Source organism: Homo sapiens, chromosome 2, assembly GCF_000001405.40.
Source record: "Homo sapiens chromosome 2, GRCh38.p14 Primary Assembly".
NCBI lineage: Eukaryota > Metazoa > Chordata > Mammalia > Primates > Hominidae > Homo > Homo sapiens.
In genome coordinates this window covers 211,932,654-211,947,661 of record NC_000002.12, presented here as the reverse complement: position 1 = coordinate 211,947,661, position 15,008 = coordinate 211,932,654, and the positions used below count along the sequence as shown (strand labels likewise).

General features: G+C 33.1%; 1 protein-coding gene across 10 annotated transcripts in view; it reads left to right on the top strand.

Annotated features, from left to right (window-relative positions):
- ERBB4 (erb-b2 receptor tyrosine kinase 4) overlaps window positions 1–15,008 on the top strand; it is a 1,163,086-nt gene that overhangs the window by 591,141 nt on the left and 556,937 nt on the right. For all 10 annotated transcript variants that reach the window (NM_001042599.2, NM_005235.3, NM_001439006.1 and 7 more), the window contains exon 3: window positions 46–232. In NM_001042599.2, the coding sequence (NP_001036064.1) occupies window positions 46–232 (187 nt within the window). The remainder of the gene's footprint in view (window positions 1–45; window positions 233–15,008) is intronic.

Below are 15,008 nucleotides of genomic sequence, written 5' to 3'. Positions count from 1 at the left end.
GACAAATTCGTTTTATAACACAGGCAACTGTTTGTGTCTTTTCAGTCTGTTCGAGAAGTCACAGGCTACGTGTTAGTGGCTCTTAATCAGTTTCGTTACCTGCCTCTGGAGAATTTACGCATTATTCGTGGGACAAAACTTTATGAGGATCGATATGCCTTGGCAATATTTTTAAACTACAGAAAAGATGGAAACTTTGGACTTCAAGAACTTGGATTAAAGAACTTGACAGGTAAGGAATATATCCAAAATGGCAAATATGCTTTCATTATCAATATAAGGCAATTGTATATGTAGGGTTACTGTCATATTTGTTACATTGAGGAACACTCTAAGGCATTTAAATATCAGTGATTTATTTGTTTTATAAGCAATGATGCCCTGTGATGCCCTTGCTTTTCTTTATAGATTTTGTAAGTTTAGTGTGAAGGATACCATAATACTGTATCTCAGCTGAACAGGAGTAAACTCTGGAAATGCTCTGTGACTGAAAACTGAGATATGAAACATGCTGTGTTTGGTGGTTTCAGGTGAACAGTGGACCATATCATCAAATCCTTGCAATAATGAGATAACTATCATTAGCGCTTAGTAATATCCAAGCTGTTATATCTATTTCCATGAATCTTTAGTTTTCTGCACAATCACCTTATTTTTAGAAAATATATCTAATTTATACAGTTTTGATTTCTCTTATTCAGTAGCTCACTAAATCCCATCAGCAATTCTTTCTCAGAATACTTCAATAACATCAGATCATCAGAGTAGGTTTTTCTCATTAAGATTGGAAATATATGATGTAAGCAACCTAAAATTATCATCCTTCTGTGAAAAACACTCGATAGGAATTTATTTTGTAAGCTGGTTCTTGCTATCCCACTGTTACTTTTCAGTTCACATAGCTCAGGGTGCATGAAAGTTCTGTGGGAGGCTTTTTGGTATAATGAATTTTACTTCATGAATTTTACTTCATGTATACCTGTAATCAAAATGAGCTGCTTATTGAGATCGCACCATTGCTCTCTACCCTGGGCAACAACAGCGAAACTCCATCTCAAAAAAAAAAAAAAAAAAAAAAAAAAAAAGAGAGCTAATTAGTAAATAATTAGTACCTAACTGTAGGATAAAGGAGTTTACACTTTTAATTTACTATAAATTAAAATAATCTATATATTTTGCATCCAAACCTGTAGTGGTTTTATATGTACTTTGAGTACAATAAGTGGTAATAATTATTGACATTGAAAAATTAAGCAGTTTAGAGATATGTCCTTAGAATATAACAAAAAGCAAGATGAATGTTGTCAGAATATTGAAATCATTTGTTTCTTATATTTGAAGTGGATATTAAATTTCTAGTTTTAAGTTAGACATAGCTTTATAGTTAACCAGACATATGAAATAAAATTGGGATATTTTGGGTGAAGAAAGGAATACTGATTGTGTTATTTATTTTGGACATGATTGCTATAGAGTTGATGAAATAATGGTGAATGCAAATTGTTCAGAATTTATAGATTCCTTCATCAACATTTTCACTTTTATTTCTTTCAAAGATAGTTTTCTTACTGAAGAATGGAGTTTTTTTACTAAATTGCTACTTATATAGAAATAATGATAGGAGAAAGAATTTTGGAAATGAAATGTGTAGAGAACAATTGAACGATTGAAATTAGGAATCTAAAAATACTGTAATATGATCCAGTTAAAACCTGCATAGGAAGCATTGTGTTTTCATCATGATTTCCCTCTGATTATAGTAAAGAAAAAAATGAATAAATTTCTTTCAAACTTTTGTATAATACTGGAATCTTGTTATTATTCCATAAGATGTGCTGTTTGAGAAATCTTTCCACATAGAGAATTAGTCTTTAAATAGTTCCCTTATTTATTTTCACATTTAATACCAGTACTACTAAATTATTAGAGCAGAATTATTTAATCAATCAAAATTATGCCACATTTAAACATACTTCATACCGAGTAAGTGCATAACTTGTATTACTTAAGATTGTGACAGTTGTTTAACTTGTGCATACCAAAATATAACACTATTATTTCAAGAATATTATTATTCACTTTGCCTAGAAGCTGTGAGATTTTCTTTTGCCATAGTACAAATGGATAATTAATAAGTGATTAAGAGAATGAGTTGATTGTTTAGAAAAATACATACTCATTCAAAAGTTATTAATTTTTTTGAGTATGAATTGAAGAAAGTGCAACAAAATGGTAGAAATTTAGGCTAATATGAACATTTTTCAGATATTTTATTTATTAGGTGGTTGTTATGTGCCAAAATTATTCTGTAAGGGAAACAGTCTAGGGTCATTGAACTTTAGGTATTCTGGTTGATAGTGTTACTCCAATTGTAAGAATCAGAAGTTACATGTATGCATGATTGTGTTTGTGTGCAAGAATATGCAAGAAATGATAGAAGACACCTAACAGTTCACATGGAAGAATATGGGATAAAATTTTCTCTATGGCAAAATCTTAAAAGGCTAAATGTTCTAGGTAACCCGATTAAAGCAACAAATAAGTGCCGTAATTAAGTTCAGGTAAGATTGTTTTTGTGCTTCGGAAAAATATTTGTTTTATATTGCTTGCTTTTGTGTTATACAAAGCAAGAGTTTTTAAAACAACATTTTTATATTCTATTAAGTGCAGAGCTACTGGACTGGCCTTAATTTTTTATACCTGGTATAAAATGAGGGGAGACAGCAAATCTGCTGATTAGTCGGATACCTCACTGCCTAATCTACCATACTGTATTACATTTTTAACTCCATTCTTAATGGACCATCACCATGAGCATCATCCAGGAACTTAGAAATGCAAATCCTTGGGCCTCACCTGAAACCTACTGAATGAGAAACTCTGGGGGTGGGGCCCAGCAACTTGTGTGTTAAGTATCCCTCTAGTGATGTTGATGATTACTACAATTTGAGAAGATCTACTCTAATTAATGGTATGTTACCAAGAAATGGTAGCACAATATCCAGTTGAATTCTTCACACTTATTTGCTGCAAATAATTTTTATTCATCTGTCATCTTGCAGAGAGAAAGGAAGGGATGGGAAAGGAACAGATAAGGTTTTGCTTTCATGACAAGAAATACACTGCATGTTCGGGTGAAAATGAAAATAATACACTGGGATCCTGGATAGAAACTTGGGTATAAAATGACTTAAAGATAAGGAAGATGCTGGGAATAAAGTTTTTCTATAATCATTTTGCCAAACATCAACTTTGTATAATGATAAACCATTAAAAAGACAATAATAATTCGTGATGAATTTTCTTCTTAAGCAAAATTTTATTTTTAAGTACTTTCGACAGGGTAAATAACCAGTAACAATTATGGGGATGGGAAGTGTACAGAGTGTTGTAACCAAGAGTTTTGAGATGAAGACTTTAAGTGTTCTTTTTTTTTGTGTGTGTGTGTATATATATATATAGTATATATATATATATATATATAGTATATATATATAGTGTATATATATAGTGTATATGTATAGTGTACATATATAGTGTGTATATATATATAGTGTAACCATGTATATATATATATATAGTGTAACCATGTGTATATATATATATATGGTTTGCGTTTCTACTTAAATCTTTTTCACTGTTTGATATTAGAATAGTGTGTGTTCAGAACAGCACATTAGCTTTCTGCAAACTTTGTGTAAAAGAGATATTAGTTAACATGAAGACTGTCATTATACACTAGCTAATGGTTGGATGTCACTTAGACATATACAGATTAATTCGCACATTAAAAATTATTACTAACTAGCTTAATGTTCACCAAAAGTTGCTGCATGGCCTAAAAAATTACTGCAGATCTTATTTACATACTTTCATGTTGGTTGTGACTGAGACAATAAATGGATTTAAACCTATTTTTCTGGCCAAATAGAAAAACTTGTTTTACTGCTGCTTCTCACATTTCTCATTATGCACAGGGTAGATGATAAGTAGAGGGGGAAAGAGGCAGGTGCCTAGACTAAAAATAGGCCACACAATCTATAAAGGAGTGAGGAACTTACATTGGCATGCTCTAGGTGTCCTGTTAACACTGCCTTACTTTCTTCTTGCCAGTGGAGAGGTTATACTTCCATCAGTGCATCCCTTCAGTCATATAATCATCTCTATCTTGAGGCCATTGGGAAGGTCCCTACTGCATCAGAGAAGTCCATAGCTGGACAGGGGACATCATGTCTTCCGTTAAGGTCACTTGCACATGGCTGTGGTTCTTATTAATCACTCTTGATGAGGATGTCCTGCTGACTTTTTTTAATCACCTCTTTTTTAACCAAACATTCCTATTCAAATCGACATTTAATAGTATATATACAATCTTAATTAATTCTATAAGCTTCTACTTGTTTAGTCACTAGTCTGGCCAAACCCTAAAAGGAATTATATGGGCCATAAAACCCACTATTATTTTCTCCCTTCTATAATTTATAAAATCACCTCATCTGTTACTAATGGTTGGTAATGTGATACAATTTAATCTATATATTATATTGTAGATATAAAGGAATCTTTCATAAATACTTAAGTTTATATCTATTTATATCCCAAATGGGAAGATAAATACTTAAGTTCTTATCTATTTTGTTTATATCTTAAATGGAGAGATAAATGCTTAAGTTCATATCTATTTTATGTATATCCATATAAAATAGATAAATGTGGTTTCATCTTGATATGCAATGATAACCTAGGTACGAATTTAATACACATATACCTATATTTATCACACTACATTTCACCTTAGATATTTGAATTTTCACTTTATAAATTATGAGAATATCTTTAGAGAAGGCGATATTTGGGATGATACAGAAATACAACTGGTGTTTTCCAAAAATTAGCTGAATACGCTATATATTTTCAGACCAACATATTCATATGTTTTAGTCTTTATTTGATATTTTACGGACATTGTAATTGTTTTGTTAACTGTGTACTGGATCATCTTGATTTGATTATTATCTGAGGTATGGACAAACAAAAATTTAAAACAAAAAGTAGAATACCGAAGTTATACCTAGAAGCCCTCAATAGTAATGAAAATAATATATGAAGTTTGCTGGATTCTGGTAGATGAAAAATAGAATAGAAGGCTTGATGGCACATGCCTGCGGTCCCAGCTGCTCAGGAAGCTGAAGCAGGAGGATCTCTTGAGCCTGGAAGGTCGAGGCTGCAGTGAGCTATGATCATGCCACTGCACTCCAGCCTGGATGGCACAGAGGGACCCTGTCCCAAAATAAATAAATAAATAAATAAATAAATAAATAAATAAATAAAATGCTTCATCCAGAAACTACAACATGTAAATGTTGTAAAATTTGAAAGATGTGATATCTGAACATTACACTTGAATGTCTGCCTTCAAATATGCATAAGTTATTAATTTAAGTAGTACATCCAAGTAATGTAGTACCTTTTCACATTTAAGTCTCTCAAGCCTCTTTGGCATTATTCAGTTATGGTCAAATAAATAACCTAATATCGAAAAGGACAAGTCACCTGTCATTGACTCAATATATGTCATAGAGTGATATGAAATTGTGAAATCAGAAAAAATCTCTGTGCAAAGACCTGGCCTACCACCTACAGTCTGGGTGTCTCTCTGAGACTCAGATTCTTTATCTTGAAAACTGTGAAGAAAATTCTGCCTCATAGTGTTGTAATGAGCATTAAAGAAAGAAAGCAGGGAACTTGTCAATTAAAGCATCTTTCACATTGGGGGTGTTTAGAAATCTTAGTGTTCTTTCCTTGTATCTGTTTTGTTTATAGTTTTCCTTTGTTTTACCACATTGAGAAAACTATTGTATTTGTTTCTGCGTATTCGGATAGATTCCTGTTGTTTCCTTGGGGCTTTGGGTGTGACCTGTTTAGACAAAAAAAAAAAAAAAAAAGTGTTCCAAATTTCAGTGTGTCTTCTAACTACTTTGTGCTTAAGATCTGTTTCTCTGGTGATGAGAAGCCTGAGGCTGGCCTTTGTCTACTCTCAGGAAGAGTGCTGTCTTTGCTACCTCACAGCACTTCTCTCCTGTCTTTCAGTGTTTCATGCCAAGCACCTGTTGCCCCAGCCCTTCATTTCAAATCTCCATCATCATGTTTCATCCTTTATTGGCCCTGACATTTGTCTTGACCTACACAAGAGACATATTCATTCTGAGTTCTTTTTCTTACACAAGAGTTGCTAAGCATTCTTCAACTACCCTGTGAAAGGTCTTGGTAATATTTGAGTGGGTTCAACCAGGCTAGTTCAGGGATTGTTGTTAAACAGAATGTTTAACAAAAGTACTACAAACATTTACATTAGAAGATCTATTCAGCATATTGTGATATTTGCCGCCAAAAAAAAAAAAAAATCTAAGAGTACTCTTAGCTTAAGGGTAAATTACTTGGAAAATGATTAGATCAAAACTAATCTATAGTGAAGCTTAAGTGAGTCAGAGAGAATCAGTGAAAAGAGTGGCACATTCTTCGGAAGAGTCCATTTTTAGATCAGGTCCACAATTTCTGGAAATGATACTCTCATCAGTGTTTTAAAGAGTATTGTTTGCTTGTCATGTCAGACTGTGTATTGACTAGAAAAAGGAGAACTCCAATAATGTATTAATACCAGTCGATAGAAACATATATTCGAAAAGAGGAAATGTTATAATTAAGGGATCAGAGATTATAATGGCCATTTCAGCAAATTTTGCTGGGACTTATTCTCAGACAACTGATTCGTTAGAGAACTGATGAGTGGATTTATAGAACTGAATGAAGGGGAAATGAGAATTTCTCCTCCTGCTGTACCAAGAATCAGAGATAATAAGGAGAGAAATCTGAGGAGAAATAAGCCAAAATAAGTGGTGGGGTTGGGCGTTCAGGGAATAGAATCATCCTTTCTCCTCTGCTCACATGTTTTCAGTCATGACTGGCAAGATGATCTGCTCAGGGCATATAATTCAGCTCCCTTAATTTATGACCCCTTCAGGAATCTTAAAGATGCCTCACTCTTTGAAGAACATTCTATTTAATCCCTAGAGCATCCTTTAGAAAATATTAGGGGAAGCCTAGCATTATGGAATTTCTCAGGAAACTTCCCTACTTGGAACCTTAAACCTTTGTGATCATTCTTACTTTTTCTTAAGATACAGTAAAATCTGTCTTCTCCCTTCCCTAAGAGAGGAAGCTTATATATCCTAAGGAAAAAAATGTATAAGGGAGACAAACCCCCTTGCTTAAAGCTCATCTATTGAGGAAGCATGCTTGTTTGCTTTGGTGTTTAGAAAAAGAGGAACATTTTTGCTCCTCAGAGTCCCAAATGTAGTACTAGAAATTGATTAGTTTTAATACAACAATGGCTCCATCGTTTTGCTCTGAGGAAAACAGTAAATATATCAATACCCACCTCTCCACCCTTACCCCAGGACATTAGCTTCATCTGGCTTTCAGACCCTGAACTGCAAAGTATTGAAAAATTCTCTGCATCCATTCCCAGTTACCAAGGGAGGCACAACAATGCTGGGGCTAGAATCACTGGATTGTTGCACTTTCTGATTTCATGGCAGAGGACTGGAAACAGTAGGAATAATATTTAAGAATAAACCAAATCTATATCTATCTCTATCTATCTATCTATCTATCTATATACATATATATATATATTTTTTTTTTCCTTTTTTTTTGAGACGGAGTCTTGCTCTGTGGCCCAGGCTGGAGTGTAGTGGCACAATCTCAGCTCACTGCAAGCTCCACCTCCCGGGTTCATGCCATTCTCCTGCCTCAACCTCCCAAGTAGCTGGGACTACAGGCGCCCCCCACCATGTCCAGTTAATTTTGTATATTTCTATTAGAGATGGGATTTCACCATGTTAGCCAGGATGGTCTCGATCTCCTGACCTCGTGATCCGCCCGCCTCGGCCTTCCGAAGTGCTGGGTTTACAGGTGTGAGCCACCATGCCCGGCCACCAAATCTATATTTTAGAGGGAATGAAGAGTGCATGCTATTTTTGACAGATGTCTATAGTAATTTTTTAGAATATGTAAATACATCATCAAGTTTAGTTAGAGGAGGCAGCCTCAAGCTTGGCAGAACCTAACACCCTCAGTCAGAGTTCAGAAATGAGGCTACATGTTGTTCTCTTCCAGCGTTTACCAAAGGCATGATAATTGTAATATCCCATATGTTATGGAAGTTTGCACCTTGCAAACTGCTTTCAGTTCCTTTCAAAAAAAAAAAAATCTGTTTCAGACACAGCCCTGTAATGCTGACCTGGCAGATATCTTTATTATAATTTTACATCTAAGGAAACCAGGCCTAAGGTCTTGTGGCTAATCAGGTGAACCTTGTGCTGGAATCTAGATCTATTTACCCGTTCTTCATATGTCACTCCCAAAAATTGTTTAAGACAATTTCTTCAGGCAAAACTATTGTCAGTGAACCATTAAATTGGCTGAAAAAAGTAAACAATCCAAACTTGAGCAATAGGTCTTAAGGCTGTATTTTAGAAAGAATTTGTTTTGATCATTATATAATACTTGAATATATCATGAATGGTAAGTTGACAATAAAATACAAGCAAACGTGCAATACAACAATATTGTAAATACTGAATTTGATTTTTTAAAAATCTATTACTCATCCTATAGCCACTGTCATTCAGCTATGGCTTTTTAAAAATCAAGCTTGCTTGCTAAACTCTTATCTGTAATGCACAAACATTTATTAATAGACTTAATTTTACTGGTAAAAGTTTAGGATTCTTTTGGAAAGTAATGTCAATTCAAATATTTATTAGCTTTGTTTTGTTCTACTTGTACATTCAAGTCATTGTGCTGAGATATGAGCTATTCTAAATTATCTCTACATGCTTGTCTTCTCTCAGTAAATACTATATTTCTGACAAATATTTACCCTCCGTCTGCCATGTGAAGCCAATTATTATTATTATTTTTATAGTCAAGCATGTCTATTCTTCTCAAAAGCTGCACTGTCCAATAGAACTTTATTGGGATGATAGCAATATTCAATATGTGCCACACAACAGAGGAGCCAGTAGCCAGATGTGGCCAATGAGCCCTCTGAACAAGACTGCTGTGAATGAAGATAGGAATTTTTATTTTTATCTAATTTTAATTAATTTTAATTTAAACAGCCATATTTGGCTAATGGCAATCATATTGGACAGTGCAGCACTAAAGGGACCAGACTTTTACTAAATCCAATCCAGCAGGCAAGGACTTACAAGCACAATAACGTGGAGAATCACAAGACAGGCTCAGAATCTGGGCTCCCTGAGTCAAATTCTATTCTGAGGCAAATGATTCAACTTTCTAAGCCTCAGTTTCCTTATCTTCAAATGAACATAACAAGGATGCTCAGTTGTAAGATGATTATAAAAGTTAAATTATCAAGTACATATTGAACATTAAATGCAGTTCTGGAAATAAATGTGATTATTTTTTGAGGAGAAGTTTGATTTTGGTAAAAAAATAGACACAGTGTATTTTTATAATTATTGAAAGCATATTAGGCTTATATCATCAAATTGTAGAATACAGAATGTGTCATTTTTGATTTGGGCCTTAACCATATTTTATATTTGAGTCAGCAGGGTTCTGGATGGCATGCATTGCTTCTAAATATGTTTTAAGCTGCTATGACTTGGGTTTTCTGTTGGTCAGATAAATGACACTTTAAAAATGAAATTTTTTACTTTCACCTTTAGTTTCCACAGTATAAGTATCTGTTGAAATTAGAAATGGGTCTCAAAGAGATATGGTTTGGCTGTGTTCCCACCAAAATCTCATCTTGAATTTGTAGTTCCCGTAATCCCCATGTGTTATAGGAGGGACCAGGTGGAGATAATTGAATCATGGGGTTGGTTTTCCCCTTCCTGTTCTCATGATAGTGAGTTAGTTCTCACAAGAGCTGATGGTTTTATAAGGGGCTTCCCCCTTCTCTGGGCACTCATTCATTCTCCTTCCTTCTGGCCTGTGAAGAAGGATGTGTTTGCTTCCCCTTCTCCCATGATTGTGAGTTTCATGAGGCCTCCCCAGCCATGCTGAACTGTGAGTCAATTAAATCTCTTATCTTTATAAATTACCCAATCTTGGGTGGTATCTTCGCAGCAATGTGAGAATGGACTAATAGAAAAAGTCTATTTCTTTAATGGTTTCACTGAAAGAAGTAAGTGTTAATAGAAGATAATTATTATTATTCTGAAAAATCTGTTAAGAATTATTTCTAGAATAGACACTGCCGATTATCTTTAGGACTCCCCAGTTCATGTTAAAAGTTTTTTTAAAAAAATTATAGCATTTATTTAATAACAAGGTAACACGAAAAACCCTTTTATAAAATGTTTTCTCAAATAGCTATCTGCCATATTTCAACAAATTTAAGCCATCATCAATTGTAGGAAACAAACTGTTGTTTTTGTTTGTAGTCCACACTTTCTAAAAAGAGAAAAAGTAAAAGCACCAACATAAATGTAAAAGATTGTACAAGGAACCAGGATTTTAAAGATATTAGATCCAAAACTGTATGTGTTTTAGAATTAATACAATACAGTACATTCAAATAGGCTAGAAGTTCAATATACCTCTTATTACTTTTCTAGAATTATAACATAGCTATTGTAATGGTGAAACTGTGTACTGTGGAAGCATATAAAATAGGTTACAATAAAAATGGTCAATGTTTTGTAAATGATGAATAGAATTTTCCATTTATCTGTATCTATCAGGAAATAGATAAATGAGAATTTGCATGGCCCAACACTTTTTGGCATAATAAATGTTACTAACCAGGAAATTTTAATGATTGTTTTTGTTTTCTTTTGAGATCTAGTTGATTTATCACTTCTACGGGGAAAAGAGATGGAAATATAGTTCAAAGGCAGAAAAAATACTTATTTTGGGAGTTTTTCTTAAACTTTGTTCTCTTAATAATATGTCAAATAGATCTGAAGATTGTTATTATACATCAGCATGGAAAGAGGATCTGTCTTCTTTACCAGAAGTGCAAGTTATTCTAGCTCTCTTACTATTTTCCCCTCTTCCTTAATATTTTATGATCCGTCTGTATAACATATTTCATATCTTCTAGCTATAATTTTATTGTAAGCCATGTAAAATTATTTAGGTTATCGAATCATAATGACTATAACAATTTTGAAGAATATTTATAAGAAAAAAGTGAAAAATGGTGATCCATAACTTTTTTCTTCCTTCTAAGAGCATTCAATTTACTCAGTTTCATTTTCTCTGTGGTGAAAATCAAAGGTTTGATTTTATATTATTAGTAGTGTTGAAAAAAGCTGATATAAAAAGGGTATTTTTGATTTTCAATTTACTATGAAATAGAAGGACTTCAAGTTTTAATTTGGTCTTTTTTTTTTAAGTGGCGGTCTCAGAATATTCTGGCAAATATTCTGGTAAATAAGTATGTCATTTTGATTTTGATGGTGCCCTGAATTCTCTGAACTTTCTGCTTTAATGTTGAATAGGATGATACTGGGTAGGATTATATATCTGCTGGTATACAAATAAGAACACAATAATAAATTCTACTAGTTTTAAAAAATTATTCATATAACTAGAATTCATTTAGGCTTTGTGCCTTTGGTTTTGATGACTTGCCTTTTTAGGATAATAAATGTAGAAAGCAAAGTATCTTTATGGCATAGTACAGCCCAGGATAGAGATACTATTGTTAATAATAACAATAATAACAACCATAATTAATAAGTATTTACTATGTAGAAGTGGTTTGCAAATATGATCTCTCTTCATCCTTGCAATAACCACGATTAGTAGGTGTATTAGTTAGGGGTCTCCAGAAAGACAGAACCAATAGGATATAGATACAGATAACGATAATAGCTATTTGAGAAGGATTCATTAGGACAATTGGTTGATGCAATTATGGAGGCTGAGAAGTTCCACAACAGGCTGCCTATAAGCTGAAGACCCTCGGATGCTGGTGACCTGGCTCAGCACCTCGGAGGCTGGTGACCTGGCCTTCAAGTTTGAAGGCCTCAGAACCAGAGAAGCTAATGGTGTACCTCTCAGTCTGGGATCAAAGGCCTTAGGGTGCAGGGAGCCACTGTTCTAAGTCCTGCAGTCCAAAGACCAGGGAGCCTGAAATTGGTGTCCCGCAAGAGAGAAAGAGTGTGTACTGGCTTCAGATGAATGTATTCACCTTTCCTCTGTTTTTGTTCCTCTTGGTCCCCAGAAGATTGGCTGTTGCCCACCCGCATTGAGAGCATATCTTACCTACTTAACTCTACTCAGACTCACAAACTCATCTCCTCTGAAACACCTTCATAGACATGCTCTAAAATAAAGCTTTACCAGGTTTCCGGGTATTTCTTAATCCAGTCAAGGTGACGTCTAAAGTTAACCATCACTGTAGGTTACTATGATTCTTTCTATTTTGAAGATAAGTAAACTGGACTTAAAAATATTAAGTAATATACCACAAGGAGGGCATACAATAATTTATAGAGTTCAGATTTGAAGCTAGGTAGTATAACTGCTGATTTTCTTTTTATCACAATGCTATAGGGATTCTGAGAAGAAAGGGGATCACATGACACTAAACTTTTGTCATCCTCTGCTATGTGTGAATGAGCAGGGGATGCATAAAATTATTCATGTGGTCCAGGTGTCACCTCTTCAAGGCAGTTTTTTTTTTTTTTTAGCTGAATGAGACTTTGCTTAGTGTAGATTTTTTACTTAGGAAATGAAATGATTCTAAAAGAGATACAGATTGTATAATTCGATTAAATTATTTCTTACATTGAAAAGTATGCTATCAGGCTACTTAAGCTTATTTCTACAGACACAGGGAACTAAAATAATAAAGTATAATAACAGAGTGGATTGAAATGCCCTAATTGGGCACGGACTTCATAGCCTTTTCTTTATTAACACTAGAAGACAAAAAAAGACAATTAGTTATATTTGAAGCGTGTTTTATTTTGTTACTCATGGGGTGATGTCTTCTATAAATCTTATTACTCTAGTATTTATTTTTTAGAGAATTTTTTGTGGATGAGGTGGAAGGAAGGAAAATCAATATGAGAAAAATGGCAGGCTCGAAAAAGATCTCAAGTCTATGAGATGACTCTAATTACTGATTTCATGAAAATCATATTTTATCTTATTAAAGGAAGATATTAGAAGGGTGATTTTATAGTTAATTTTATTCATACATTATAGCCACTCCACTTTTTGAATTTTTTATTTAAGGACCAGAATACTAACTAAAATTACTCCCTAGTTGGCAACTGGTATAAATATATACCATTTTGAAATATCCAAGTATAAATGGACAGGCTAAGTTGATCTATATATTTTAAATAAAATATTTATGACTTCCTTTCTTCTATAGCTACAGTAAGTGATTTTTGCCTCCCTAAACTACATTTGGTTTTGTACATATTTACAGCAGAGTTTTATAAAATATATATTTTAGTTTTAATAATTATTAGACTCAATTCCCTTTGTGAAGAATAGTAACATATTCGGGGTTACTTTTGATAAAAAGATGGAGGAGACTCTAAAATTATTGAAACGCATGTAATTCCTTTTAGGTTTAGAAACCCTCTAACTAATTATTTCCAGAATTTGTGTATGGCCTTAAGATAAACACATTTTATGTTGTTTTATTTTGAGCTCACATTTTATTTATTGAAACAAGTATATTTCAGACTTAGACATCAAAGAATACACTACACTTAAATTTAGCACATATTTTGGAAATAAAGAGCAATAAAAATCTCTTAATCTATTCTTCTATAAAAGCAAAGTTGAAGAGGATCGTAGATGCGATATTAAGAGAGAATTTAAAGATCGTCTAACCCCTCTCTCATTTCGAAACTGAGTCCCAGAGAGAATAAATAATTTACTTAAGATGAGGGTTTTTCTTGTCCTACTGTTAGTCGAGTCCTTTTTCAACTATATTATTCCAAAAATATAATTTGATTCAAGATACTAGAAAGAGGAAGGTAACAAAAAGATTTAAAGAAAACATATGCCAATCTATATATGTTTAGGTATACATTTTCATTGATCAGTGGGAAGAAAATAAACAATATAGATGCCATAATTCATGTGTAACCGAATTGTAATCTAAAGTCATCAAATATCTACAATAGATTATCAAATTTGATATGAATTTCATAGTCTTGTTCAAAGAGTACTGGGCAGTATGTTTTGCAAGGAAAGGATGGAGAAGATAATGAAGCAGTACTTAACATACCTATAGATATATCTTTTATAAAGCATGGGTAGAAATATAGAATGGAAGGAAGCAGCCTGTGTCATTGATACCATTGTTCACATAGTGAATGTGTGGCTGAACTTCACATCTGTGCATTACACTGTCATTTCACGTACTTAGAAATTGCATGTCGTAATGATAAATCTTTGTAATTAAAATTGTATCATGCTTCAAATGCAGTCCTATGGTGCTCAGGGAAAAGAGGTGAATCAAGAATTAGTGTCTTGGCTCAAGCGCCTCTTAAAAATTACGAGAACCTAACTATCACTTGTGCAAAATAAATACATCAGGGGTCACAATGTAGGTTATCAACTCCTTTGTGATTTTATTGAAGATCACCAGTGCATAATTTAAGTAACTATTCAATCGTTTTATGTATTTAAGACTATTACTATGCACAGTGACTTCTGTTACTTTTGGTTCATTATTAAATATAAAATAATGTAAAAATATTTAAAACAATAGTGTTTATGGAGCCATTTTCATGTTAATTTTAATGTCTAATATAATTTAAATCAGGGAGAGATTTAGTGTAACTTTAAAGTTCATTTACATTTTAATCCATTAAAATATGACTTAGTAAGAAACATTCAATGCCAAAGACATCTTTGAAACATTTTCCTTTGGAATTACAAAATTTTGTATTTTTAAAGAGGAAATCAATGGTAATATATAATTATCAAATTAA